This window comes from Homo sapiens, chromosome 19 (genome assembly GCF_000001405.40).
Source record: "Homo sapiens chromosome 19, GRCh38.p14 Primary Assembly".
Lineage (NCBI taxonomy): Eukaryota > Metazoa > Chordata > Mammalia > Primates > Hominidae > Homo > Homo sapiens.
In genome coordinates this window covers 10734222-10761771 of record NC_000019.10, presented here as the reverse complement: position 1 = coordinate 10761771, position 27550 = coordinate 10734222, and the positions used below count along the sequence as shown (strand labels likewise).

General features: G+C 51.2%; 1 protein-coding gene and 1 long non-coding RNA gene across 6 annotated transcripts in view, besides 5 other annotated features; one reads left to right on the top strand and one right to left on the bottom strand.

Annotated features, from left to right (window-relative positions):
• DNM2 (dynamin 2) overlaps window positions 1-27550 on the bottom strand; it is a 113825-nt gene that overhangs the window by 70132 nt on the left and 16143 nt on the right. For all 5 annotated transcript variants that reach the window (NM_001005360.3, NM_001190716.2, NM_004945.4 and 2 more), the window contains exon 2: window positions 1961-2034. In NM_001005360.3, coding sequence (NP_001005360.1) covers window positions 1961-2034 — 74 coding nt within the window. The remainder of the gene's footprint in view (window positions 1-1960; window positions 2035-27550) is intronic.
• Window positions 1317-1366: an enhancer, noted in NCBI's record as "active region_13992". NCBI's record gives its function as "activates an Ori minimal core promoter by ATAC-STARR-seq in GM12878 lymphoblastoid cells {active_cell/tissue: GM12878}" and the evidence as "EXISTENCE:reporter gene assay evidence [ECO:0000049][PMID:35858748]".
• Window positions 1637-1696: an enhancer, noted in NCBI's record as "active region_13991". NCBI's record gives its function as "activates an Ori minimal core promoter by ATAC-STARR-seq in GM12878 lymphoblastoid cells {active_cell/tissue: GM12878}" and the evidence as "EXISTENCE:reporter gene assay evidence [ECO:0000049][PMID:35858748]".
• LOC124904637 (uncharacterized) lies at window positions 1962-6655 on the top strand. The gene is made up of 2 exons (XR_007067139.1): window positions 1962-2220; window positions 5111-6655. It is a non-coding gene; the product is annotated as an uncharacterized LOC124904637 (long non-coding RNA).
• Window positions 10600-11221: an enhancer, noted in NCBI's record as "H3K27ac hESC enhancer chr19:10861227-10861848 (GRCh37/hg19 assembly coordinates)". NCBI's record gives its function as "activates a minimal SCP1, AML or CMV promoter by ChIP-STARR-seq in primed H9 embryonic stem cells {active_cell/tissue: H9 hESC(primed)}" and the evidence as "EXISTENCE:reporter gene assay evidence [ECO:0000049][PMID:30033119]".
• Window positions 12357-13171: an enhancer, noted in NCBI's record as "H3K4me1 hESC enhancer chr19:10859277-10860091 (GRCh37/hg19 assembly coordinates)". NCBI's record gives its function as "activates a minimal SCP1, AML or CMV promoter by ChIP-STARR-seq in naive H9 embryonic stem cells {active_cell/tissue: H9 hESC(naive)}" and the evidence as "EXISTENCE:reporter gene assay evidence [ECO:0000049][PMID:30033119]".
• Window positions 22762-22831: a silencer, noted in NCBI's record as "silent region_10091". NCBI's record gives its function as "represses an Ori minimal core promoter by ATAC-STARR-seq in GM12878 lymphoblastoid cells {active_cell/tissue: GM12878}" and the evidence as "EXISTENCE:reporter gene assay evidence [ECO:0000049][PMID:35858748]".

Genomic DNA, 27550 nt, shown 5'->3' with positions numbered 1-27550 from the left:
GAGGAGTCTTGGGAGGCCAAGCTGAGAGCTGGCGTTGAGGTCAGATCTGCCTGGATGCAGGTCCCAGATCTGGGGCCCATTGGAAAGGCAGGCAGCATGGCTAAGCCTCAGTTTCCCCATCTGTAGAATGGGGGTGTGTGTGTCAGCTGCCTTCCCAGTGTGAGAGTATTTAAAAGGGCCGCAAGAAGACATTAACACAAACTGAGTGTTGAACGCCCAGAGCTGATGTTGCAGATTAGCAGGGAAGGGGCACGGAGACCCTTACCTCTCCCGGGTCTAGCTTCTGACCCAAGATCCTTCCCAAGGAGGCCCGAGGGGGTTTCCAGCTGGGATATACGCCCACCTCATGTCAGCCTCGGGTGGGAAGAATAGAAATACACTGAGATCAGGGAAGGAAAGAACAGGAAAAAATCCACACATAGGCCATACTATATTCAACAGGCTGGGTCTCCCTAAGAGTCAAAGTCTGATTAAAAAGCAATGGTGGCCGGGCGCGGTGGCTCACGCCTGTAATCCCAACACTTTGGGAGGCCGAAGTGGGCGGATCACGAGGTCAAGAGATCAAGACCAGCCTGGCCAACATGGTGAAATCCCATCTCTACTAAAAATACAAAAATTAGCCAGACATGGTGACACACACCTGTAGTCCCAGCAACTCAGGAGGCTGAGGAAGGAGAATCGCTTGAACCCAGGAGGCGGATGTTGCAGTGAGCCGAGATCACGCCACTGCATTCCAGCCTGGCGACAGAGCAAGACTTTGTCTCAAAAAATAAATAAATAAATAAAATAAAAAATAAAAAGCAATGGTAGAGGGCTGGTGTGATGGTTCATGCCTATAATCCCAGCACTGTGGGAAGCTGACGCAGGAGGATTGCTTGAGGCCAGGACTTCAAGACCTGCCTGGGTAACATAACCCCCATCTCTACCAAAAAAAAAAAAAAAAATCAGCTGGGTGTGGTGGTGTGTGCACCTGTAATCCTAGCTACCCGAGAGGCTGATTGGAGAGGATTGCTTGGGCCCAGGAGGTCGAGGCCGCAGTGAGCTATGACTACACCACTGCACGGCCTGGGGAACAGAGTGAGACCCTGTCTCTTAAAAAAAATAAAAAAAGTGATTATGGGGAGGCTGCTTTAATGAAAAGAGAAGAAGAGATTACAAAAGAGTATAGCATTGGATTGAGCAGAGCAGCTATAAAACCAGCCAGATATCTGGGGGACAACTGGCGACATGCTGAGTAGAAACTGGGACGTGGATGACATGCGGGAATGACTCGTTCTCTGGGGCATGGTGCTGGGACTTTGTAGACAGGCGTCTTTATTGCATGGGGAGGTGCACTGGGGCGTGAAGGATGGATGTGTCACCACGTCTGCTACTGACTTTGAAAGCGTTCAGCAAAATCGGGTTATCTATAACACATGAAAAGCACACATGGGGCCGGTGTGGTGGCTCATGCCCGTAATCCCAGCACTTAGGGAGGCCGAAGTGAGAGGGTCACTTGAGGTCAGGAGTTCAAGACCAGCCTGGCCAACAGGGTGAAACCCTGTCTCTACTAAAAATACAAAAAAAAAAAAAAAGCTGGCCATGGAGGGTCACACCTGTAATCCCAGCTACTTGGGAGGCTGAGGCAGGAGAATCGCTGGAACCTGGGAGGTGGAGGTTGCAGTGAGCCAAGATAGCATCACTGTACTCCAGCCTGGGTGACAGAGTGAGACTCTGTCTCAAAAAAAAGAAAAAAGAAAGCACACATGGCACCTGGCATTCTGGTCACAGCTGAGGGCTTGCAGTGTGGGTGTGTAAGTGTTCACTGAGCCGTTTTTCAATTTCCTCACACATGTGGAACACGTGAATTCAATGTCCAATGACAGCCCAGGACCCAAGTTCCACCCTCCGCCCCCAGCAACTCCTGGCAACCACACATCCACATCCACTTCCTGCTGAACCTCAGGCCGCCCCATTTTACCTGTTTTTGAGAAGATGAGCTGCAGAATGAGAGGCCGCCGGGTGACGATTCCTGAACCGCGGGGAAGGAAGTCCCTGTGAGGGGGGGAGAGGGACAGAAATTACTCTTGCGTCCGGATCGAGGGGCAGGAAGTGTGACCACATGTGGTGGAGCAACTCTGTCTTGCAATTTGGGCGACCTCAGCAAAGGCACCAACCCCAGCTGGGCCCTGGGGAATGCTCTGGTCTTGGAGGGTCCTGAGGCCTGAAGAGCTCAGGAAGGTATGCATGGAAGGTCATAGTGACCAGAACCATTTCCCTCTGGCAGGCTGTGCCCCACCCCCCGTACTCCCAGGGGGCCCATTCCCTGGCATGTATTTGTTAAATTTCCCCCATACCCAGGAGATCAACACATTTCCTATGTGTTTTAAATCAACACAATGCCACATGTATATGGGTAAAATACGAGGAAAGTTATTGATGACAAAATAGGATGTGTTTCATGTCCAGAAAAGTCACATCTACAGAAGCAGAAGGCAGATCAGTGGATACCTGGATGTGGGAACGGGGGTGACTGCCAATGGAGGGGAAGGAGCTTTCTGGGGTGATGAAAATGTTCTACATCTGGACTATGGTGATGTTTACTAAAATTAACTGTAAAAGCCTGGACAAGATAGTAAGACCCCATCTCTACAAAAACTAAACTAAACTAAACTAAACTAAAATTAGCTGGGCGTGGTGGCCCACGCCTGTGATCCCAGCTACTAGAGAGGCTGAGAGAGGAGGATGGCATGAGCCCGGGAGGCTGAGGTTGTACAGAGCCATGACTGCACTACTGCACTCCAGCTTAGGCAATAGAGCGAGACTCTGTGTGGGAAAAAAAAAAGGACTGTAAAATGACTAAAGACCACTAATTCTGAAATGGATCGATTTCGCGGAATGTAAATTACTATTCGACAGAGCTGTTTAAGAAAAGTACATATCCTGGCCGGGTGCAGTGGCACAGGCCTGTAACCTCAGCACTTTGGGGAGGCCGAGGTGGGCGGATCACTTGAGGTCAGGAGTTTGAGACCAGCCTGGCCAACATGGCGAAACCCCGTCTCTACTAAAAATACAAAAATTATCCAAGTGTGGTGGCACACGCCTGTAATCCCAGCTACTCAGGAGGCTGAGGCAGGAGAATCGCTTGAACCCAGGAGGCGGAGGTTGCAGTGAGCTGAGATCGTGCCACTGCACTCCAGCCTGGGCGACAGAGCAAGACTCCATCAAGGAAAGAAGGGAAGGGAGGGAAGGGAGGGAGGGGAGGGAAGGGAGGAAAGGGAGGAAAGGGAGGAAGGAAGGAAGGAGGGAGGGAAGGAAGGAGGGAGGGAAGGAAGGAGGGAGGGAAGGAAGGAGGGAGGGAGGGAAGGAGGGAGGGAAGGAAGGAGGGAAGGAAGGAGGGAAGGAAGGAGGGAGGGAAGGAGGGAGGGAAGGAAGGAGGGAGGGAAGGAAGGAGGGAAGGAAGGAGGGAGGGAAGGAAGGAGGGAGGGAAGGAGGGAGGGAAGGAAGGAGGGAGGGAAGGAAGGAGGGAAGGAAGGAGGGAAGGAAGAAAGGAATCAATTCCATGTCTTTCACAATGGAAAAGACTCAGGCACAACCACCCCAGAAGATAGAGGGAGTAGCCTGCTCCGACTTACAGTGAATACACCAGGATTCCAGCAAGGAGGAAGACAGGAAGTCACCCTGTACACTCAGAAAGGAAAATGAAAGCTTTCCAGTGAGGACTGAAGTAGAAACAGTGGGCTCGGGGTACATTAAAGGCTCGAAAGGAAATTCTGTTGTTTCATACAAAATGGTGAAAGGTTCTAGGCACAGGGAATTTCTTTTTCTTTTTTTTTTTTTTTTTTTTTTGAGACAGAGCTTCGCTCTTGTTGCCCAGGCTGGAGTGCAGTGGCTCGATCTCAACTCACTGCAACCTCTGCCTCGGGTTCAAGCGATTCTCCTGCCTCAGCCTCCTGAGTAGCTGGGATTACATGCACGCGCTACCATGCCTGGCTAATTTTTTTGTATTTTTAGTAGAGACAGGGTTTCACTATGTTGGCCAGAGTGGTCTCGAACTCAACCTCAGGTGATCTGCCCGCCTTGGCCTCCCAAAGTGCTGGGTTTACAGGTGTGAGCCACCGTGCCTGGCCAACACAGAGAATTTCAAACAGGTTTTGCACCTAGATGTTTGGATCGTTGAAAATTTGTACAGGACACAGGGCAATTGGTACTGTACAGCTGTGCCCTGTACAGAACGAGACAGCATCCTGGGTCCCTGAGTGAGTGTCACTAGCACTACAATCATTCCCAGCTGGCAGGTGGCCCTACCCATGCTGGGAACCCCTGATGAGGGTGCTGGAGGGTTCCAGAAGACCTGTTTCTCAGCTGGGGCTGGGCACTGGAAATTCCTGGGAATGTATTACCCAGTGGCTGGCGTCGGGGGGGAGATGTGCTCTTTCCACACACCCTGGATGATGGGTTCTAGCCCGTCAGCCGGGGGGCTGTCCCACCACTTCTGGCTGGGTGCAGAGACACAGCACTGACTACACAACAAGTCAGCCCAAGCCCTCGGCGGGGGCTTGCAGCCTGGACTGCATGAGAAAAGGGATCGTGATGGGCAACAGGGCTACGAAGACCCCCCAGGGGCGCTGCTGGCAGAGCAGGGCTGAAGTTTTAGAAGCAGCCTCCAGTGGTCAGCGCTGGGGGGTTGAGGGTGGCAGTGCTGGGGATTATGATGAGGAGGCTGGTCATCACTGTTAGAGCAATGCCACCAGCTGGGATTTAGGGATGGATTACAATAAATGTTAAGCTTTAGCCAGATTATTAACAAATGTAAGCTTTTAAACCCCCCTCTGGCTGATGCAGGGCAGAGGAGAGGGCAGGAGCAGGAGGCAGGTGGGGGTGACCGCTGTGGTTCATGTGAGTGACATCAGGGGCGAAACCAGAGAGATGGCAGGCAGGGGTACGGAGGCCAGTGGACAGGCCGTAGGCAGATTCCAGGGCAGTTTGGGAGGTGGATGGTCACAACCTGAGGGCAGGCCGGATAGAGAAGAGCCAGAGAGTGGGAGGAGGCAAGACAGAGGGGAGCGCCCTACAGACACTTGCAAGGCTCTGGGGGACGAGCCCTGGCCTCTGCATCCTGTCTCTGCAGCCACAGGCAGCACAGTCAGCTCTCCAGGCCTGGGATGCTACCTGTCTTCGAGCCACACTCCTGAGGATGACAAAGAGCCCGAGGGACCTGCCTGCCAGGCACTAGGCCTGTCACGCCACGTGCCCCAGTTCAAGCTGATGCCTGAGCTCTAATCCCTTTCCGTCAGCCTCCCATTCGGCTGATGAGGAGCCTGAGGCACAAACAGGATACGAGACTTGGACAACATCACAGCTCATGGCTTGCATGAAAAGGAGCGAACCTTTCTCACTGGCTCCTGAGCACTTGGGGAGGTGCTGGTGACACTGGCGCCAACATTCTGACGGGGGTGGGTGCGAGGAAGACATACTGCAGGGGTGAGAGGGGTTGGGGGCTGGGATAATTGGAGAGGGTTCTCTGAGCAGGGGGACTGAGGGAACAAGCTACATCAATTGGGAGGCGGAGTGAACTGAACGAGGGAAACAGCGAGCGGGCGCCCCCATGCAGGTGACAGACCCCAAAGTCACCTCTTAGCATGGCCCCTTGTCTTTCCGTCACAGTAGTCACAGTGGACACCAGGCTGTCCCAGGGTATTAACCTCATGAACGCCACAAGTAGCCTTGGCCCTGGCCCTACCAGAGCCCCAGGCCACCTAGCTCACAGGTAGGGACCTGAGGGGCAGGGACACTTGGCATCTTGCACATCAGAGACGCAGTGTCTCAGGTCAGGCACAGTGGCTCACGCCTATAATCCCAGCACTTTGGGAAGCCAAGGTGGGTGGGTCACCTGAGGTCAGGAGTTTGAGACCAGCCTGGCCAACATGGTGAAACCCCGCCTTTACTTAAGATACAAAAATTAACCGGGTGTGGGGGCGCAAGCATGTAATCCCAGCCACTCGGGAGGCTAAGACACGAGAATGGCTTGAACCCGGGAGGCGGAGATTGTAGTGAGCCGAGATCGCATCACTGCACTCCAGCCTGGGTGACAGAGTGAGACTCCATCTCAAAACAAAAACAAAAACAATACAAAATACAAAAAAAAAAAGACAAAAAAAAACCCTGGCCGGGTGTGGTGGTGGACACCTGTAATCGCAACCACTTGGGAGGCTGAGGCAGGAGAACCGCTTGAACTTGGAAGGCAGAGGTTGCAGTGAGCTGAGATCGCGCCACTGCACTCCAGCCTGGGTGACAGAACGACTCTGTCTCAAAAAAAAAAAAAAGACAAATGCAGCATCTCAGAAACCATGCGGCGCTGGCTAGACACTGAATCACCAGCAGCGGCGGTGACAGCACGTGCCCCTCACAACAGTGCCCCTGCTCCATCCTTTCAATGACTATTTTTGAAGTGTGCAAGTGGAAGATGTCAACGATAAAACAACACAGGAGCAGCATGTGATGCAATCACAGACATCCTGTCTGCTTCGTGTGTCTGACGTTCATTCCTTTTCGTGGTCGAATCTGTCCATTGCACTGATGGACTACAGTCTGTTCGTCTAGTCACCATTGGATGGACATTTGGGGTCTTCCTAGCTTGAATTTATTACAAATAAAGCTGTTCTGAACATTCTCATATGCGCTTTTTGTAGACACATGTCCTTGTTTCTCTTGCTGAGTCACAGGGTGGACTTGAACTTGAACCGGCAAAGCTAGTCTCTGGAGATAGAAATCAGGGCAGTGGTTCCCTTTCGGGAAATGGACTAGAAGGGGCAGGAGGGACTTTCTGAGACCATGAAGAAGTCCTGCATCTTGATCTAGCCAGTAGGTACCAAGGTACAATCATTTATTAGAAAATCAAAACTTGCAGCAGTGGCTCACACCTGTAATCCCAGCACTTTGGGAGGCCAAGGTGGGTGGATCACTTGAAGTCAGGAGTTCGAGACCAGCCTGGGCAACATAACGAGCCCCTGTCTCTACAAAAAGTAAAAAGTAATTCACTGCGGATGGTGGCATTCCCCTGTAGTGTCAGCTACTCGGGAGGCTGTGGCAGGAGGATTACTTGAGCCCAGGAGACTGAGGCTGCAGTGAGCCATGATTGCGCCGTTGCACTCCAGCCTGGGCAACAGAGGGAGACTGTCTCCAAAAAAGAAGAAGAAGAAGACAAGAAAATCAAGGTATATGTTTAAGATTTATGCGATTGGCCAGTTGTAGTGGGTCACGCCTATAATCCCAGCACTTTGGGAGGCTGAGGCGGGCAGATTATGAGGTCAGCAGATCAAGACCATCCTGGCCAACACGGTAAAACCCCGTCTCTACTAAAATACAAAAAATTAGCCAGGCGAGGTGGAGGGTGCCTGTAGTCCCAGCTACTCAGGAGGCTGAGGCAGAATCGCTTGAACCTGGGAGGCGGAGGCTGCAGTGAGCTGAGATAGCGCCACTGCACTCCAGCCTGGCAACAGAGTGAGACTCCGTCTCAAAAAAAAAAAAAAAGACTTAAGCGATTAACTATATCTAACTGAAATCTCAGGAAAAGGTCACAAGTCAAGGAGAACATGTTCGTGAAGATTCAGATACAAAAGTACAGGGTGGACATTCCATTAAAATTTGCCCACAGAATTGTTACAACCCTGTTAGTTTCTCAATAAGACGAAAAATTCAGATCTCAAAGAATTTTAAAGCCCAGCAACAGGGGACTAGTTAAATATAAATTACGTTCAACCTAAGGAAGCTGACTGAAAATATGTTTTCTTTTTGAAAACATATATTTTCAATCACCTTATATATAAGATATATTGCTGGGCATAATGGCTCACGCCTGTAATCCAAACACTTTCAGAGGCCGAGGTGGGTGGATCGTTTGAGGTCAGGAGTTCGAGACCTGCTTGGCCAACATGGTGCAACCCCATCTCTACTAAAATTACAAAAATTAGCCAGGCGTGGTGGTGGGTGCCTTTAATGCCAGCTACTCAGGAGGCTGAGACAGGAGAATCGCTTGAACCCAGGAGGCAGAGGTTGGAATGAGCTGAGATCGCGCCATTGCACCAGCTTGCACAACAAAGAGCGAAACTCCGTCTCGGGGGAAAAAAACAAAACAAAAACCTTTAAAATAGAATAAAATACGTGTATTTATATATAAATTATGGCCTATCCATGCTGCTATGCAGCAACAGACACACAAAAAGAGCCTGTCCTTTCTAGACATGTAACTCCCTTTTTGGTGTACTAAGTGAGAAAAAAAGAAAAGGTTTGTAGTGATCAGTTTTACTGAAGAAAGAAAAGGAAAGGAAGAAGAGAAGGAAAAGGGAAAGGGAAGGGGGAAGGGGAAAGGGAAGTGGGGGGGGGAAGGGAAGGGGGAGGGGGGAAGGGGAAGGAAAAGGTACAGAAGAAAGTCTGTACTTTGTGACTAAGACAACCAAAGGGAAACAAAACAGGACCCGGGGCGGCTGGGGCCTGGTGGGGAAGGAGCCACTGCATGTTTTCCGACATCTTTGAATTCCGCATCATACACACGCATTACTGAGTTCAAAACATTAGAGTAGCTAATAGCTATTCAACACTGACTCTATGCCAAGCAAGGCATTGAGAACTTTTCATGATTATTAACCTTTTTGATTTCTTTTTAAATAGAGACAGGGTCTCACTCTGCTGCCCTGGCTGGAGTGCAGTGGTAAGGTCACAGCTCACTACAACCTCCAACTGTAGGGCTCAAGTGATCCTCCCGTCTCAGCCTCCCAAGTAGCTGGGATCACAGGTACCCACCACCACCTTAAGTTTTTTGGTTTTTTTGTTTGTTTGTTTCTTTAACAGACAGAGTCTCACTGTGTCACCCAGGCTGGAGTGCAATGGAGTCCAAAGTGCTGGGATTACAGGCGTGAGCCACCACACCAGGCCACCTTAAGTTTCTTGTAGAGGCAAGGTCTCACTATGGTGTCCAGGCTGGTCTTGAACTCCCTGCAATGACCCCACTGCACCTGCCTATTAACCCATTTAACCATGACAGGATCCATTAAAATGGGTCTGCTGGCTCCATTTTACAGATGCAAATGAGGCCCAGAGGGTGGGGGCCTGCCCAGGGTCACACAGCATCTGGGGGTGGCATGAACATGGACTGAAGGCACAGGGCCTGAGCTGTCTAACCACCAGGGCACCTGGCCTTCTGAGCAAACACATCTTAGGCAGACCCTCCAGTAACTCCCAGCCAGGGCCCGGCTTTGGACCTCTGGTGTTTGCCTGTGGCCTGTGCTGTCCTGTGACTCCACTTTGTGTCTGAGGCGCCAGGCACTGTGAGGACAATGGTGATGCCCCAGACGCCACCAGCGCCCAGCTCAGACAACGGACAATCACAGCTTCAGAACATAGGGCGGGAGTGACGCCCAAGAGAACACAGAGCTGTGGGCACAGGCAGGAGAAGGTGACTTTCTGGGCCTGGGGTATTTGTAGTGTGGAATATGATGAGGTTTCTCTTCAAACAGGCTGATCAATCTTTTAATTCATAGTACCCCACACACACATACACACTCTTTTTTCCTTTTTCCTTTCTGGCTTTGTTAGATGCCCAGGCACGCCACAGTACCAGGCGTTACCAGTACCAGCTCACATTCCTTCCCTTATTTACAAAGAAGACTAACTTTCTAGTTCACTACAGACATCCCTTCCCCTTTCCTCTCTCTTTTACGTGCCCACCTTATCTACAAAAATTCAAATGTTTAGCCAACCAAAATTGGTTTAGATTGTATGACCCGACCCCGGCCAATGGGGAGAGGGTACAGGAGCAGGACTTGCATCAGGAATAAAGGCTCTCGTGTCCCTTTGTTCAGGTGTGCTCTCATGGCGACTGGCCAAGGACAAGCACCCCTCTGTACAGAAGTAAAATTGCTTTGCTAAAAATCCTTTGTTCGAGTGTTTAATTTCCTTAAAATTTTGAGTGTTATTCCGAACAGTTCTAAGTCGGGCACAGGAGGGCACAGCCTGGGCGACGGAGACGCAGCTCTCAGGGGAGAGTTTGAGGACAGGGCAGGGCAGGCGCAGAGGGCCTCGCATGCCAGGCTGAGAGCGCCAGGAGCCCTGGGACTTATCCGATTTTGCTTCTAAAAGTTCCCAGACTGCTGCATGCAAAGGGCACCAACATTCACCCTCGGCCTGGACTGCCTCCGAAATGAGCCCCCCAGAAGTCTCCTAGGAGCTTGGTGAGCAGGGGCCTGGCCCTAAGGGTTTTCTGGGACACAGCAGCAGGAGTACTTGGAGCCTTCCAGAAACCACCTCCCAAGCAGCTCTGCCTGGAACACTGACACTGGCCACTTAGCAGGAAGTGACTTTCCAGCCTCCGTCATCTACTTCCTCCTCGTTGATCCCATCCGCATTCTGAGAGTACTGAAATCTACCTACTCCTCTCCTCTCCCTTTGCTGCTGCTACAGTGCCCTCTGTGCACCCAGGCTGCCCTGCATTCCAGTCCCTGCTTGGCCACCTCTGTGCTGTGTGATCCTGGGCGGGCTTCCTGGCCTCTCTGGTCTAGGTTTCCCGTCAGTAAGACAGGGTAACCTTGCCAAGCTCAGAGTGATTCCGCTCGAATGACATTTCCTCAGAGACTTCTCTCACCCCCATTCACACCTCTCCCACCTCCACCCCCCATGCCTCATTTTTCTCTGTGGAACTAACACATGCTAAATGTCACTTAGCTGCATTTTGTTCTGGCTCACATACAGACCCCATACCCCCATCTGAGCTGTGTGGGGAGCTCACACACAGCTCCCCAAGGTGGGATCCTCCAACATTCCATCCCCAAAGCATAGAGTAGGGCTGGCACACAGGAGATGCACAATTAAGTAGTTTATTAACTTTTTTTTTTTTTGAGATGGAGTCTTGCTTTGTCACCCAGGCTGGAGTGTAGTGGCGCAATCTCAGCTTACTCCTGCCTCAGCCCCCCAAGTAGCTGGGATTACAGGCGCCCAGCACCACACCCGGCTAATTTCTTTGTATTTTTAGTAGAGATGGGGTTTTGCCATTTTGGCCAGGCTGGTCTCGAACTCCTGGCCTCAGGTGATCCACCTGCCTCAGCAGCCCAAAGTGCTGGGATTACAGGCATGAGCCACCGCGCCCGGCCTTATTTATTTTAGAGGCAGGATCTCACTCTGTGCCCAGGCTGCATCAGCAGCACAATCACAGCTTACTGCAGCCTCAAACTCCAGGGTACAGGCAAACCTCAGTCTCGGCCTCCTGAGTAGCTATGACTACAGGTATATGTCACCATGCTTGGCTAATTTTTTTTTTTTAGAGATGGCATCTTCCTATATTGCCCAGTCTGGAGTGCAGTGGCACAATCATACCTCACTGCAGCCTTGAACTCCCGGACCCTAGTGAACTTCCCACCTCAGCCTCCCAAGTAACTGGGACTGCAGGCACACACCACCATGCCCGGCTAATTTTTTTATTTTTTGCAGAGACAGGGTCTCGCTATGTTGCCCAGGCTGGTCTCAAACTTCTGGCCTCATGCAATCTTCCCGCATCGGCCTCCCAAAGCACCGGGATTACAGGTGTGAGCCACTGCACCTAGCCTAGTACTATTGCATCATTTCAGTACCTGGCCTCCTATCCATGGGCCCAGGCCAGGCCCCAGGGTCCTGGCCCAACCTCCCACCTTCCCCAGTGACCTTTCTAAAATGAAGATCCTGCCTCCAAGCTTCTCTCTTGCAGAAACCAAGTGACTGGTCCTAGCCCGTCCTGTCCAGTCCTAGTCCCAGTGCTGACCGGGTTCCCCAGCCCCACCCCCTGCACCTGCCTCCTCTGAGTTCTCTCTGGCACTGCTGGCCTTCAGGCCTTTGCAGGGGGTGTTCCCTCTGCCAGGAAACCCTCCCATAGGCCCTGCCTACCTGGCCATGGGCAGGTGTGATGGCTTGCGCCCCTCCCTCCCAAATACACACCCCTTCCCACTCCCAGCAAAACGGCCTCTGATGAAGGTCTAGTCCTGTGACACGCCAAGACTTCTGCACCTGGCCTGGTCACTGCTAGATCCTCAGCACCTAGAACAGTGCCTGCCAGACAGTGTGTGCTCATTAAGTATTTGTTGAATGGGTAAGAAGAATCCAGACTGTGGAGCCAGGCAGCCTGGGTTCAAAGTCGAGCTCCGCCCCTCCTGGGCTGTGTGGCCCTGGACAGGTCTCTACCCCTCTCTGGGCACTGACTTGGCCATCCATGAAATGGGAGGACACTTCCAGTCTGCCACAGAGGGCCCAGCCACCGGCTTGGCCTGGCTCAAGTCACTTCACCCCACCAGAGCAGGTTTCAGAGCTCTAAAGTGGGCCACCTCTCCCTGGAAGGGGATAAGCGCTCCAGGAAGGCGGTAGGGGACAGGCAGGGAAGGGTGCAGCTGGGAGGCAGCACCCAGCAGCGATGGGAGAGGTGCCAGGTTGAGTCCAGCAGATCAGAAGCCCAGGCTGTTTATTTACCGTTTTTTGAACAGACCACAAGGCTCCACCAGGCGCCTTTTGACTTCCAGCCCCTATGAGGGTGGGGACGGCTACGTGCAGGAACGATGCAGGCTCAAACCCAGAGCCTTCCCATGGGAGGGAGAATCAACAGATAAGCCCACAGAGGGTGAGTCAGCAGTGTGGCCCAGAGCCAGCACCCCAGGGCAAGCCACCCCTCACCTGTGCAGCCTGGTGCTGGCAGGGCCTGGCCAGGACCCTGGGCTGGGATCCCTTCCTTGTCACCATATGCTCAGCACAGTCTCTTTGAGCCTGAATGTGGCTGGGAGGGCTCACGTGACACCACAGCCAGCCTTCAGCATGGCACTGGCCACAGGAAGAGGCTTCGGCAGGAGCCCACACTCCAGGGCCAATTTCCACCCTGGCCTCTTCTCTCAGGACTCTGATAAGAGCCACACAAGGAACGCTGGCCACCCAACAGGCTGTCTCTAACCCCATCTCGGGCAACATAGCGGCAAATCCTCTGACAACCCCAGAGGGGTTGAAAGTCACAAGGATGCCAGGGCCAAAAGTCCCATTTCAGACAGGTGGACTGAGGTTCAGTCTCAGGACTTGCCCAGGACGCTCAGCGAGGGAGGAGCAGAGCCAGGACACGAATGTGGGTGGGACACCAATGAGGCAGACCCGCAGTCACCCGCACCCACCTCAGGGGCTTCTCTGTCGCTCTGTTGGAGCAGAAGTGGGGACCCATGCCCAGTCTCCTCTGCCCACCTCGGTCCCTGCCTCATCCTTCCAACAATAGCCATTGGTCACCCAGCAAGGACGCCCAAGCCTTACAGTGCTCGGCCCACACAGTGTCCGCAGGTAGGTGCCACTGCATCCCTGTGGTCACCCCAAAGGGCAGGGAGGGGAGAAACCCCTCACGAGGCTGCAGACCTGGGGCTCCCCTGGCCCTCACCCACCCGCCTTGTCCAGCCGCGAGTCCTGCTGGTTTCACCTCCACATCAGGCCTGATTCTGCTCAATTCCCTCCACGTCCAAGGCTGTCAGCGTGTCCCACTGTCACCTGCCTACACCAGTGCAGTCGTGCCCTTGGTCCCCACAATCTGCCTCCCACAAAGCAGCCACAAGGTGCCTGTGCACACCATGTCACTGTAAACCCCTTTGTTATGGGCCCTCCTTGGGCTCCCGCTTCACTTGGAATAAAAGCCAGACTTTTCCCTGCAGCCCCCCAAGCCCTGCACGACCTGTCCTGTCACCTTCCTGTCCTCACCTCCCCCTACTCTCTGTCTTGCTGGCTTTACTCCAGCCACATATGCCTCCTCCATGTTCCCGAAACACACCAGACACTGTCCTGCCCCAGGGCCTTTGCCCAGGCTGTTCCCTCAGCCTGGAACCTTCTTCCTGCAGCATTAACAGAGCAGGCGGGCAGCTCCCAGCAAACTGCACCCTCCCTCCCCCCGCCATAGGAAGCTGCTCCCCTTCTTTCACACATCAACCCGCTCAATGCTCAGTGCCACTCACAACTGGCATCTTCCGGGTTCCTGATGTGTTCACCCAGCTGCAGTCTGTCCCTGCCCCCACCTCAACATCCTATTAGAGTGGCAGCCTCATGGGCGCAGGGTCCCGTATCGGCCCCTTCTCTGCTCTCTCCCCAGTACCCAACACACACCCAGGCAGGAGGCAGATGACCAATGCTTGCAGAACAATGGGCCAAATCTGCCATTTTACAGATGAGGAGACTTCTCACTTCCACAATCCACTCCTGGCCTCACTCCTCCCCAACATTCCCAGCCCAGCAGCCCCTCCCTGATCAGGAATCCTGCAGCTCCCGGCTCGAGGCCCGCCCTTGGCACTCAAGCCGTGGCATCACCTGCTCCCTGGTCTCATCCAAGGGACACAACAGGCTGGGAGCAAAAGCAGGAGGTGACCTGTGGCAATTCGTGATCGTGGCTCTGGGACTCTCCAGGCCCTGGCTGGAATCCAGTATTTCCTTTCTGGACAAGATGGGCAGGTCAGGTAACCTCTTTGTGCCTCAGTTTCCCAATCTGTTATGTGGGAATGATGCCACCTGCCTCAGAGAGGAGGTGGAAGGGTTTGTGAAACTCTTACCATGATACCCAAAAGAGAACATTCGCCCCATCGAATCAAAGTAAAACTCAGGCTGAGCACAGTGGTTCGTGCCTATAATCCCAGCACCTTGGCACGCAATCTCTTGAGCCCAGGAGTTTGAAACCAGCCTGGGCAACATGATGAGACCCTGTCTCTACTACTAAAAAAAAAAAAAAAATTGGTTGAGTGCGGTGGCTCATGCCTGTAATCTCAGCACTTTGCGGGGCCGAGGCGGGCAGATCACCCGAGGTCAGGAGTTTGAGACCAGCTTGGCCAACATGGAGAAACTCCGTCTCTACTAAAAATACAAAAATTAGCCAGGCGTGGTGGTGGGCACCTGTAATCCCAGCTACTCGAGAGGCTGAGGCAGGAAAACCGCTTGAACCCAGGAGGCAGAGGTCACAGTGAGCTGAGATTGTGAGATCATGCCATTGCACTCCAGCCTGGGCAACAGAGTGAGACTGTCTCAAAAAAAAAAAAAACAAAAAACAAAAAAAAAGCCGGCACGGTTGCTCACACCTGTAATCCCGGCACTTTGGGAGACCGAGGCAGGTAGATCACCTGAGGTTGGGAGTTCGAGACCAGCCTGACCAACAGGGAGAAACCCCGTCTCTACTAAAAATACAAAATTAGCCAGGTGTGGTGCATGCCTGTAATCTCAGCTACTCGGGAGGCTGAGGTGGGAGAATCGCTTGAACCTGGGAGGCAGAGGTTACAGTCAGCCAAGATCACACCATTACACTCCTGCCTGGGCAATAAGAGTGAAACTCCATCTCAAAAAAACAAAAAGGAAAACTCGATACAATGTAAGAACATGACCCTCCTCTGCTCATAACATTTGACGGTTTGACAGTTCCCAAGTGCCCCCCATGGCCCTGTCACCTCCGTGCCCTCCTCCCCCACCACCCCCTCACTCCCTGCCTCCAGCCACATTGGTGGTCAAGAAACAGCAAAAAGGCCGGGCGTGGTAGCTCACACCTGTAATGCCAGCACTTTGGAAGGCCGAGGTGGGTGGATCACCTGAGGTCCAGAGTTCGAGAGCAGCCTGGCCAACATGGTGAAACCTTGTCTCTACTAAAAATACAGAAAAATTAGTGGGGTGTGGTGGCGTGTGCCTGTACTCCTAGCTGCTCAGGAGGCTGAGGCACGAGAATCGCTTGAACCTGGGAGGCAGAGGTTGCAGTGAGCCAAGATCATGCCACTGCACTCCAGCATAGGTCAGAGTGAGACTCCGTCTCAAAAAATGAAATAAAAAGAAACAGCAAGGAGGCCAGACATTGCTGTCGCAGGGCCTTTGCACATGCTGGCCTCCTGCTTCGAAAGACCATCTCATCTCCTCCAAGTATTTCCACAATCCTGGCTATCTCCGGTTACCAGGGACTCAACTCAGATGTCACCTCCTCAGAGAGGTCTGTCCCCTACTGATGCCCACCTCCCCTTCATGTTGCCCTGTTTTCCTTCTAAACACAGCACTGCCCACTAGTTGGTACTTTTCTGGTTTATTTGCACCTCTTTTTTCAGAGACAGGATCTCACTCTGTCATCCAGGCTGGAGTGCAGTGATGCAATCATAGCTGACTGCAGCCTCAAACTCCTGGGCTGAAGCGATCCTCCTCCCTCAGCCTCCTGAGTAGCTCGGACTACAGGCACTTGCCACCACGCCCAGCTAACTTTTTTTATTTGTGTTTTTCTGTAGTGATATGCTGCCTAGGCGATCCTCCCACCTCAGCCTCCCAAAGCCCTGGGATTTCAAGCGTGCCCAGCCTAATTGCTCATTTATCTAACAGTCCCAACTAGAATATCAACACCTTGAGGGCAGGGGTCTTAAGCGCCCTTTCCCCAGCACCCAGAAACATATTAATGCAGTGGTTTGGCAAGGACAGCCGACTCCCTGAGGGCAGTACTTTGTGGAATGAAAACCGATAATGACCTAAATGTCCACTGGCAGGGAACTGGCTAAATCAATCTTGGGAGCTAGTCCGGGGAGCAATGCAGGCTGCAGTGCCGAAGGTCAAGTGCGATGCACGGACTGGATTATGCGTGGGGGATGATGTCCTCCACTTCGGGTTTTTTTTCCGCACATCCCCATTTCCTGTGTATGGACAGCAGGCTTGAGGTCATGTGAGGTGTGCAAATGAAAAACTTGCTGTTTTATAGTCTCCAACGTGATTTGAATGTCAGGCTTTTATAACTTTTTTATAACTGTGATTGCAGGCCAGTGTTGACCTTGTAACTTTCAGCAGTACTGAGAAACCCCAAAGAAACTGGCCGGCCCAGCAGCATTTTCAAGAGTGACGGGGAAACTGCTCAAATGTGGGGTCCTGGAGCTCACAACTCCGCCCTCCTAGGGGTGTCCTCGGTGTCATCCTAACTGCTCCCCACTGCAAGGGGTGGCCTGAGTACCCCAGCCAGCCTGGTGAGTGCCAGCTGTGGGACCTTGTTAGCAAAGTCTCTCCCATCTTGCAACAGGTGTCCTGCTCTGTAAAACGGTTGTGGTGAGGACTGGAGGAGACAGTTCCAGTTGCCAGGGCAAAGTGAACGCTCACTGTGTCTGCAGCCCTTACAGGGTGGTCAGCCATGTATGGATTTCCAGCTCTGTACCACCCTGAGGGCCCAAGTGAACTAGAGGCAGGCAGCCGGGCACCACCCACAGTCTGCATTCCACAGCCAGCCTCCTGGAGCCCCTTCCTTCCAGGGGAGTAGGTAGTGACCTCCAGGCAAACACGTTCTAGTTCCCTCCACCCCGAGACTCTCCCGGGGTGATGGGGAGCCAGCCCATAAGGAAATATCCAGGCAGACTCAGTCCACAATGTCACAAGTGACAGGAACAGCCCGGACCCGTTCTTGAGGTCTTTGTCCCACCCCCACAGCGTATCTCTCGGCAGATCCTGCCTTGGATATCCAGACCCATCCCCTCCTCCTCTGTTTCGCTCTAATGTCCTGAGGCCAAGTCTCCCATCTCAGGGCAAAGCCTCCCCCAGGCTCCCTGCCCCACAGGCTTGGAAAACTGCAAGTCAGATCACACTGTGTGCCTGATTTTTAAAGAATTTTTTTTTTTTTTAGATGGAGTCTGGCTCTGTCACCCCAGCCGAAGTGTAGTGGCAGGATCTTGGCTCATTGCAACCTCCGCCTCCTGGGCTCAAGTGATTTTCCTGCCTCAGCCTCCTAAGCAGCTGGGACTACGGGCGTATGCTACCACGTCTGGCTAATTTTTGTATTTTTTTTTTTTTTCTGGAAACAGTCTCGCTCTGCTGCCCTGGCTGGAGTGCAATGGCGTGATCTTGGCTCACTGCAACCTTGCCTCCCGAGTTCAAGCAATTCTGCTGCCTCAGCCTCCCAAGTAGCTGGGACTACAGGCGCACGCCACCACACACGGCTAATTTTTTTTTTTTTTTTTTTTTTTTTTTTGAGACAGAGTCTCGCTTTGTCACCCAGGCTGGAGTGCAGTGGCGCAATCTCGGCTCACTGCAAGCTCCGCCTCCCGGGTTCATGCCATCCTCCTGCCTCAGCCTCCTGAGTAGCTGGGACTACAAGCACCCGCCACCACACCCGGCTAATTTTTTGTATTTTTAGTAGAGACGGAGTTTTACCATATTAGCCAGGATGGTCTCGATCTCCTGACCTTGTGATCCACCTGCCTCCGCCTCCCAAAGTGCTGGGATTACAGGTGTGAGCCACCACACCCAGCCACACCTGGCTAATTTTTGTATTTTTAGTAGAGACGGGGTTTTGCAAGGCTGGTCTCGAACTCATGACCTCAGATGATCCGCCTGCCTCAGCCTCCCAAAGATCTGGGATTACAGGTGTGAGCCACCATGCCTGGCCGCATGATGTTTTTTCTCACCCGAGCACCTGTGCTTCCTTCCCACCCCTCAGGCCCCCAGCTAGAGCATCAGCTCCACAGGACAGGGATCTCGTCTGTCTTGTTCACTGCCCTGCCTCCAGCACACTATCTGGCACACAGCAGGTGTTCAGCAAATGCTAGCTGCACGGCAAAAGAAGCTGGCATCACGGCCGGGCGTGGTGGCTCACACCTGTAATCCTAGTATTTTGGGAGGCCATGGCAGGCGGAACACCTGAGCTCAGGAGTTCAAGACCAGCCTGGGCAACATGATGAAACCTCGCCTCTACAAAAAATTAGCCGGGCGTGGTGGCACACGCCTGTGGTCCCAGCTACTTGAGAGGCTGAGGTGGGAGGATCACTTGAGCCCAGGAGGTTGAGGCTGCAGTCAGCGGAGACTGAGCCACTGCACCACAACCTGCATGACAGAGGGAGACTCTGTCTCAAAAAAAAAAAAAAAAAAGAAAGAAAAACAAGCTAGCATCTCCAGGGCACTGCACAAAGCTCCAGGCACACAGGGCCTTCTTCCACCTTCACAGGGCTCTGGCCAACCCTGTTTTGCAGATGGGGAAACCAAGGATAGAGAGATTAAGTCATCCGGTCTATTGGCACACAGCTAAGAGCAGCCCTCCTGACCAATGAGGCACCAATCCAACCTGCGTCTAATCTCCATCTGCCAGGCACCATCCCGGTCACCACACAGCACTTCCAGGGGCACACAAGGAAAGGAAACCTTGGACTCCAGAGACAGGAAGGCCAGGCTCAGCTTCCTCATGGGGACAACTGAGCAAGATCATTGGGTGAAGACTCTGCAGCCTGGCAGCTCAGCCACAGCCTCACGGCAGGAACTGAATGAAGGCTGCCACTTCCCCAGCCCTCAGTTTCTCTATGAAATTGGGATAACAGCACCTACACTATGGGGTTGTCAGCAGGACAAACCCAGGGTCTAGCACGCATAAGGCCCTATTCCACAGGACTAGTTCACTAGTTCATGAGGGTGACGGGGGTGGGAGTGAAGGATGTCAATGCCTGGCACCACAACAGGCACAGACCCTTCTTCTTGGCACCCCAGCAAAGAGCCTTGGCACAGCCTTTCCTGGTGGGCCTGGCAACATCACTCTAAATCCACTTCTGATGCAACATGGCACTCCCTTGCAGGGTATCCACCCTGAGCATAGCAGACACACAAGCCTGCGGACCCCCAAGTCTCTGGCAGGAGGGGAAAAACTAGAAATAACCTAAAAATTCAAGGGGGAGAGTGATCAGTGTTAGTGGGAGTAGGCTCGACCCAGGAATACTTGCAGCTATAAAAAAGCACAGGACTCTCTCATGATGCTGCAATCAAGCAAAAACAAAGAAAGAAAAAAAGAAAGAAGGAAAAGAAAGAAGGGTAGAGGAAAAAGAAAAGAACAAGAACAAAAAGGAAGGAAGGAAGGAAAGAAGGGAGGGAGGGAAAGAGGAAGGTAAAGAGGAAGGTAAAGAGGAAGGGAGGGAGGAAGGAAAAAGCACAGAACAAAAGAAATATTGGCCAGGCGTGGTGGCTCACGCCTGTAATCCCAGCACTTTGGGAGGCAGAGGCGGGTGGATCACAAGGTCAGGAGATAGAGACCATCCTGGCTAACACGGTGAAACCCCGTCTCTACTAAAAATACAAAAAAAATTAGCCGGGCATGGTGGCGGACACCTGTACTCCCAGCTACTTGGGAGGCTGAGGCAGGAGAATGGCGTGAACCCGGGAGGCGGAGCTTGCAGTGAGCCAAGATCGCGCCACTGCACTCCAGCCTGGGCGACAGAGCAAGACTCTGTCTCAAAAAAAAAAAAAAAAGAAAGAAATATTGGCCAATTTGGGGCTGAGCACAGTGGCTCATGCCTGTAATCTCAGCACTTTGGGAGGCCAAGATGAGAGGATCACTTGAGCCCAAGAGTTCAAGGCCAGCCTGGTCAATATAGCAAGACCCTACCTCTAGAAAAAATACAAAAATTAGTCGGGTGTGGCACACGCCTGTGGTCCCAGCTACTCGGGAGGCAGAGGTGGGAGGATCATGTGAGCCCAGGAGACAGAAGCTACAGTGAGCTATGATCATGCCACCACGTTTCCAGCCTGGGAGACAGAGCAAGACCGTGTCTCCAAAAAGAAAAGAAAAAAGAAAGAAAGAAAGTTGGAGACTTCAATACCCCACTTTCAATCATGGATGGATATCAGCATTGGTATCAGGCAAGAAAAATAATAATAATGGATGGAACAACCAAATAAAAGATAACAAGGAAATAGAAAATACGAAACCAATAAGACCTGACAGATGTGTACAGAACACTCCACCCAAGAGTAAAATACACATTCTTATCATGTGCATATGGAACATTCTCCAGGACACACCGTATTCGAGGCCAAGCCATAAAACATGACTCAATAATTTTAAAGAGATTGAAATCATACAAAGTAGTTCCTCCAACCACAGTGAAATGAAGTTAGAAATGAACACAAGAAAGATGTTTTTCAGAAATTCTCAAATATATAGAAATGAACATACTGCTAAATAACCTATGTATCAAAGAAGAAATCATAAGAGAAATGAGAAGATATGCTGAGATAAATGAAAATGAAAACACAACATATCAAAACTTATGGATGCAGCTAAAGCAGGTTTACAGGGAAATTCATAGATGTAAGCAACTGTATTTAAAAAGAAGGAAGATTTTGGCCGGGCGCGGTGGCTTACGCCTGTAATCCCCACACTTTTAAGAGGCCGAGGTGGGTGGATCACCTGAGGTCAGGAGTTTGAGACCAGCCTCACCAACATGGTGAAACCCCGTCTCCACCAAAAATACAAAAATTAGCCAGGCATGGTGGTGGGTGCCTGTAGTCCCAGCTACTCAGGAGGCTGAGGCACGAGGATGGCGTGAACCTGGGAGGCGGAGCTTGCAGTGAGCCAAGATCGTGCCACTGCACTCCAGCCTGGGCGACAGAGCGAGACTCCGTCTCAAAAAAAAAAAACAAAAAAAAGAGAAAGATTTCAAATACTTTCAGATTTCAATAATCTTCCACTTCAAGAACCTCAGAAAAGGAGGGTAAACCAAATCCAAAGAGAAAAGAAGGAAATAATTAGAGAAGAAATAAAGAGACTAAAAAAATGGAGAGAGAAGTTAACACCACCACAATTTGCTCTTTGAATAGATCAACCAAACTGACAAACCTTTAGCTAGATTAACCAAGAGAAAAAGAGATAAGACTCAAATTACAAAAATCAGAAATAAAGAGGAGACATCACTACCAACCTTTCAGAAATAAAAAAGATGATAAGGGAATACTATTCTAACAAATTAAATACACCCTAGATGAAATGGACAAATTCCTAGAAAGACCCAAATTACTGAAACTGACTCAAGAAGACACAGAAAAACTCAATAGATGTACAAGAAATTTAATTAGTATTCAAAAAACGTCCCACAAAGAAAAGTCCAGGCCCAGGTGGCTTCATTGGTGAATTCTTTTTTTTTTTTTTTTTTTTTTTTTTGAGAGAGAGAGAGAGTCTTGCTCTGTTGCCCAGGCTAGAGTGCAGTGGAGTGATCTCGGCTCACTGCAACCTTGCCCCCCAGGTTCAAGAGATTCTCGTGCCTCAGCCACCCAGAGTAGCTGGAATTACAGGCATGTGCCACTACACCCAGCTAATTTTTGTATTTTTAGTAGAGAAGGGGTTTCACCATGTTGGGCAGGCTGGTCTCATCAATTCCTGCCCTCAAGTGATCTGCCCGCCTCAGCCTCCCAAATGCTGGGATTACAGGCGTGCGCCACTGCACCCAACCAGCATGGATGAATCTTGAAAACATGATGCTAAATAAACAAAGCCACACACAAAAGGCCATATACTGTAAGATTCCATTTATAGGAAATATCCAAAATTGGCAAATTCACAGACAGAAAGGACATTAGTGGCTTCCAGGTGCTGGGGGAGGGAGGAACTGCTTCATATGTATGGGTTTAGGGGAAATGAAAGTGCTACAAAATCAGATAGTGGTGCTGGTTACACAACTGTGAATATACTAAAATCCACTGAATAGTATATTTCAAAAGGATTAGGTATTATGGTATGTGAATTATATTTCAATAAAAATATTTCAGGAAAATAAAACAGTACAGGAGTTCCCCATGTCCCCATAGAAGAACAAGGGAACACGTCCTTCTTTTATTTATTTATTTATTTTTGAGACGGAGTCTCGCTCTGTCGCCCAGGCTGGAGTGCAGTGGCGTGATCTCGGCTCACTGCAAGCTCCTCCTCCAGGATTCAAGCCATTCTCCTGCCTCAGCCTCCTGAGTAGCTGGGACTACAGTACAGGCGCCCGCTACCACGCCCCGCTAATCTTTTGTATTTTTAGTAGAGACGGGGTTTCACCGTGTTAGCCAGGATGGTCTCAATCTCCTGACCTCGTGATCCGCCCACCTCGGCCTCCCAAAGTGCTGGGATTACAGGCGTGAGTCACTGAGCCCAGCCTTTTTTTTTTTTTTTTGCGATGGAGTTTTGCTCTTGTTGCCCAGGCTGGAGTGCAACGGTGCGATCTCAGCTCACAGCAACCTCTGCCTCCTGGGTTCAGGCACTTCTCCTGCCTTAGCCTCCCAAGTAGCTGGGATTACAGGCACCCACCACCACGCCCAGCTAACTAACTTTTTTTTGTATTTTTCATAGAGATGGGGTTTTGCCATGTTGGCCAGGATGGTCTTCAACTCCTGACCTCAAGTGATCCACCCGCCTCAACCTCCCAAAGTGCTGGGATCACAGGCGTGAGCCACCACACCAGGCCAGGTCCTTCTTAAAGAGTAACAACCGCTGGGATCCCCAGGAAGGGCCTGGCCTCCAACTGTGGCCAGTCCTCATCCCACCCTCCTGTAGCCCTCCCTCCCCTGTTTTTTTTGTTTTGTCTGTTTTTGTTGACATGAGGTCTCACTATATTGCCCAGGCTGGTATCAAACTCCTGGGCTCAAGCAATCCTCCCACCTCAGCCTCCCAAAGTGCTGGGTCTATGGGCGTGAGCCACCATGCCCTGCCACCTCGTGCCCTTTGATACTGATCTCAATGAAAGTCTCCACTTCCTTTTTATTTATTTATTTATTTATTTATTTTTTGAGATGGAGTCTCGCTCTTTCACCCAAGCTGGAGTACAGCGGCGTGATCTTGGCTCACTGCAACCTCCACCTCCCAGCCTCAGATGATCTGCCCACCTCGGCCTTCCAAAGTGCTGGGATTACAAGCATGAGCCACCACGTCCGGCCTACTTCCTTCTGTTGTGAGACTAATGCTTGTCTCCTCTGCCAGGCCTAACTCCTCTTGGTGGCAACCAGGCCTGTTTGACTCCAGAAGGGTGGCAGTTCAGGTCAGAGCCTGGCACAGAGCAGGCTCAGCAGACATTGCTGAGTGGGTCTTGCTCAGTGATTGACAAGTACATCAATGAGTGCATCCCGAGAGGGAGATGGGTGCCCCGATTACCTATCGCATGCCAGGCACCATGCAAGGGACTGCGCTACAGCCAGGGGCACCGCCCTACCATGGGGCATTCCCCTTCTAGTGGGGGGAGACAGAAAGAGAAATCAAACAAATAGGCCGGGTGCGGTGGCTCATGCCTGTAATCACAGCACTTTGGGAGGCCAAGGCTGGCAGATCACCTGAAGTCAGCAGTTCGAGATCAGCCTGGCCAACATAGTGAAACCTCGTCTCTACTAAAAATACAAAAATATACGGGCATGTTGACGTGCGCCTGTAATCCCAGCTACTTGGGAGGCTGAGGCAGGAGAATCGCTTGAACCCGGGAAGCAGAGGTTGCAGTGAGCCAAGATCGCCACTCCACTCCAGCCTGGGAGTCAGAGCAAGACTCCACCCCAAAAAAAGAAAACAAGAAACCAAACGCATAGGTGGAACAATGACAGGAATGACAAGTGGTTCCAAGAAAAATTAAGCAGGGGAAGGGGACAGAGAGAACAGGGTGGGGCGTTTGAGCAGAGTGGCCAGGGGGAGAGCCTTTTGAGAAGGAGGCTTTTAAGCAGAGGCCTTAGAATGCTGATGAAATGAGCCACAGGGTTATCTGGGGGAAGGGCAGTGCAGGCAGTGGAAGCAGCATGTGAAAAAGCCATGAGGTAGGACAGCGCCTCACCTGCATGAGAACATCATGGAGCCTCAGGGACGACTTCATTTTTACCCTGAGGGAACTGAGGGCCAGGGAGGATTCCAAGTAGAGGAAGGATATAGGGTCTCCCTCTGTCTCCCCGGCTGGAGTGCACTGACAGGATCACAGCTCACTTCAGCCTCAAATTCCTGGGTTCAAGCAATCCTCCCACCTCAGCCTCCTGAGTAGCTGGGACTGTAAGTATGCGCTGCCATGCCTGGCTAATTTTTAAATGTTTTGTAGAGATGGGGGTCTCGTTATGTTGCCCAGGCTGGTCTCGTACTCCTGGGCTCAAGAGATCCTTCCACCTCGGCCTCCCAAAGTGCTGGGATTACAGCGTAAGCCACGGCGCCCAGCTAGGAAGGATATTCTTAACAGGCTCCCTCTGTCCACTGCAGGGAGAACAGCCTGGGGGTGAGGACAAGGTTAAAGGTGCAAGACTGAGGAGGCAGAAACTGTACTGGTCCTGGGGAAGTAGTGACAGTGGATGGAATAATACACAGTTATAAAAACCAGTACCAGCTGGGCACAGTGGTTCACGCCTGTAATCCCAACACTATTGGCACACCAGCCTGGGTGCCAGAGAGAGACTTTGTCTAAACAAACAAACAAACAAACAAAAAACTAATACCGTGGCTTTCCACGTACTAATACACAATGATCTTTTCTATGAAATCAACAAGCTGATTCTAAAATATATATGTGGAGGCAAAGGAACTAGACTAGACAAAACAATTTTGAGAAACAAGAAAAAAGAGGACTCACATGGCCTGATTTCAAGTCTTACTATAAAGCTACAGCAATATAGAAATGAGTGGGCGTGGTGGCTCACGCCCATAATGCCAGCACTGTGGAAGGCTGAGGCAGGAGCATCACCAGCCCAGTAGTTTGAAACCAGCCTAGGCAACATTGTGAGACCCCATCTCTATTTTTTTCTTTTTTTCTTTTTTTTTTTTTTTGAGACAGAGTCTCACTCTGTTGCCCAGGCTGGAGTGCAATAGCGCGATCTTGGCTCACTGCAACCTCCACCTCCCGTGTTCAAGTGATTCTCCTGCCTCAGTCTCCCAATTAGCTGGGATTACAGGCACCCACCACCACGCCCAGCTAATTTTTTTGTATTTTTAGTAGAGACGGAGTTTCACCATGTTGGCCAGGCCAGTTTCAAACTCCTGACCTCAAGTGATCCACCTGCCTCCAAAGTGTTAGGATTACAGGCGTCAGCCACTGTGCCCAGCCCCCATCTCTATCTAAAAAGAGAAGAAAGATATGTGGTTTTGGAGAAAGGACAGAGCCATACATCAACGTCACAGAACAGACAGTTCAGGTTGGACCCACACAAATATGGCCAACTAATTCCAGACAAAAGCAACTTTAGGGAGAAAGGATGGTCTTTTCAATAGTGCCAGAAAAGGCCGGGCACAGTGGTTAATGCCTGTAATCCCAGCACTTTGGGAGCCAGAGGCAAGAGGATTATTACATGAGTCTAGGAGTTTGAGACTAGCCTGAGCAACACAGCGAGACCCCATCTCTTGAAAAAAAAAAATTAGCCGGGCGTGGTGGTGGGCGCCTGTAGTCTCAGCTGCTCAAGCGGCTGAGGCAGGAGAATCGCTTGAATCCGGGAGGCGGAGGTCGCAGTGAGCCAATATCACACCATTGCACTCCAGCCTAGATGACAGAGCGAGACTCTCCAAAAATAAAATAAAAATAAAATTTTCCATGATCCCAAAGGATAGAGTATGAAAAGAAGAAAACTAGTAACTTTCCAGTGGGGAAACCTAGCAAGCCTACCTCAGCCAAGAGATCAAGGTCAGCATCATCAGTTATCACTGTCAATAATTTATCAGTCTTGTTGGTATCCTATACTCCTGATAAGATTCACAGAAGATGGCTGGACGAGGTGGCTTACGCCTGTAATCCCAGCACTCTGGGAGGCAGAGGCGGGCAGATCATGAGGTCAGGAGATCGAGACCATCCTGGCTAACACGGTGAAACCCCGTCTAAAAAAAAATACAAAAATTAGCCGGGCATGGTGGCAGCCTGTAATCCCAGCTACTCGGGAGGCTGAGGCAGGAGAATGGCGTGAACCCAGGAGGCAGAGCTTGCAGTGAGCTGAGATCGCGCCGCTGCACTCCAGCCTGGGCGACAGAGCAAGACTCCATCTCAAAAAAACAAAAACAAAAAACAAACAAACAAAAAAAGATTCACAGAAGAGAGGGGCACCTCACCAATGGCCTTCTTCCCCAAAACTCACACCCCAGGCTCACCATGAAGAATTCCAGATAAGCCCTAATTGAGGGACATTCCATGACTTACCAAGGTTATAAAAAACAAGGAAGGGCTGAGTTGCTTCCCAGACCAGAAAAAGGCTTAAGGAGATCCGACAACTAGATGCAATGTCCAGTCCTAAGACAGGAAAAGGGGTGATTTTGTTTGAAAAATAAAATTTCTCAGTATGTATACTTCCAGACAGCAAGACCCCCATCTCGATAAAAAAAAAAAATTTTTTTTTAAATTAGTCTCATATGGGAAAAATTGAAGAAATCTGTACATTCTGGCTTTGGCTTTTTTTTTTTTTTTTTTTTTTTGAGACAGGGTCTGGCTCTGTTGCCCGGGCTGGTGTGCAATGGTGCAATCATCACTCACTGCAGCCTCAACCTCCAGGGCTCAAGTGATCCTCCTGTCTCAGCCTCCAGAGGAGCTGGGACTCCAGGTGAGCACCACCAGGCCAAGCTAATTTTTTTTTTTTTCTACACACGAGGTCTCACTATATTGCCCAGGCTGGTCTAAAACTCCTGGGCTCAAGCAATCTAGCCTCCCAAAGTGCTGGGATTACAGGTGTGAGCCACTGTACCTGGCCTCCCTTCCTTTTTTTTTTTTTTTTGAGACAGAGTCCCCCTCTGTTGCCCAAGCTGGAGTGCAGTGGCTTGATCTCAGCTCATGGCAACCTTGGCCTCTCAGGTTCAAGCAATTCTCCTACCTCAGCCTCCCGAGTGGCTGGGACT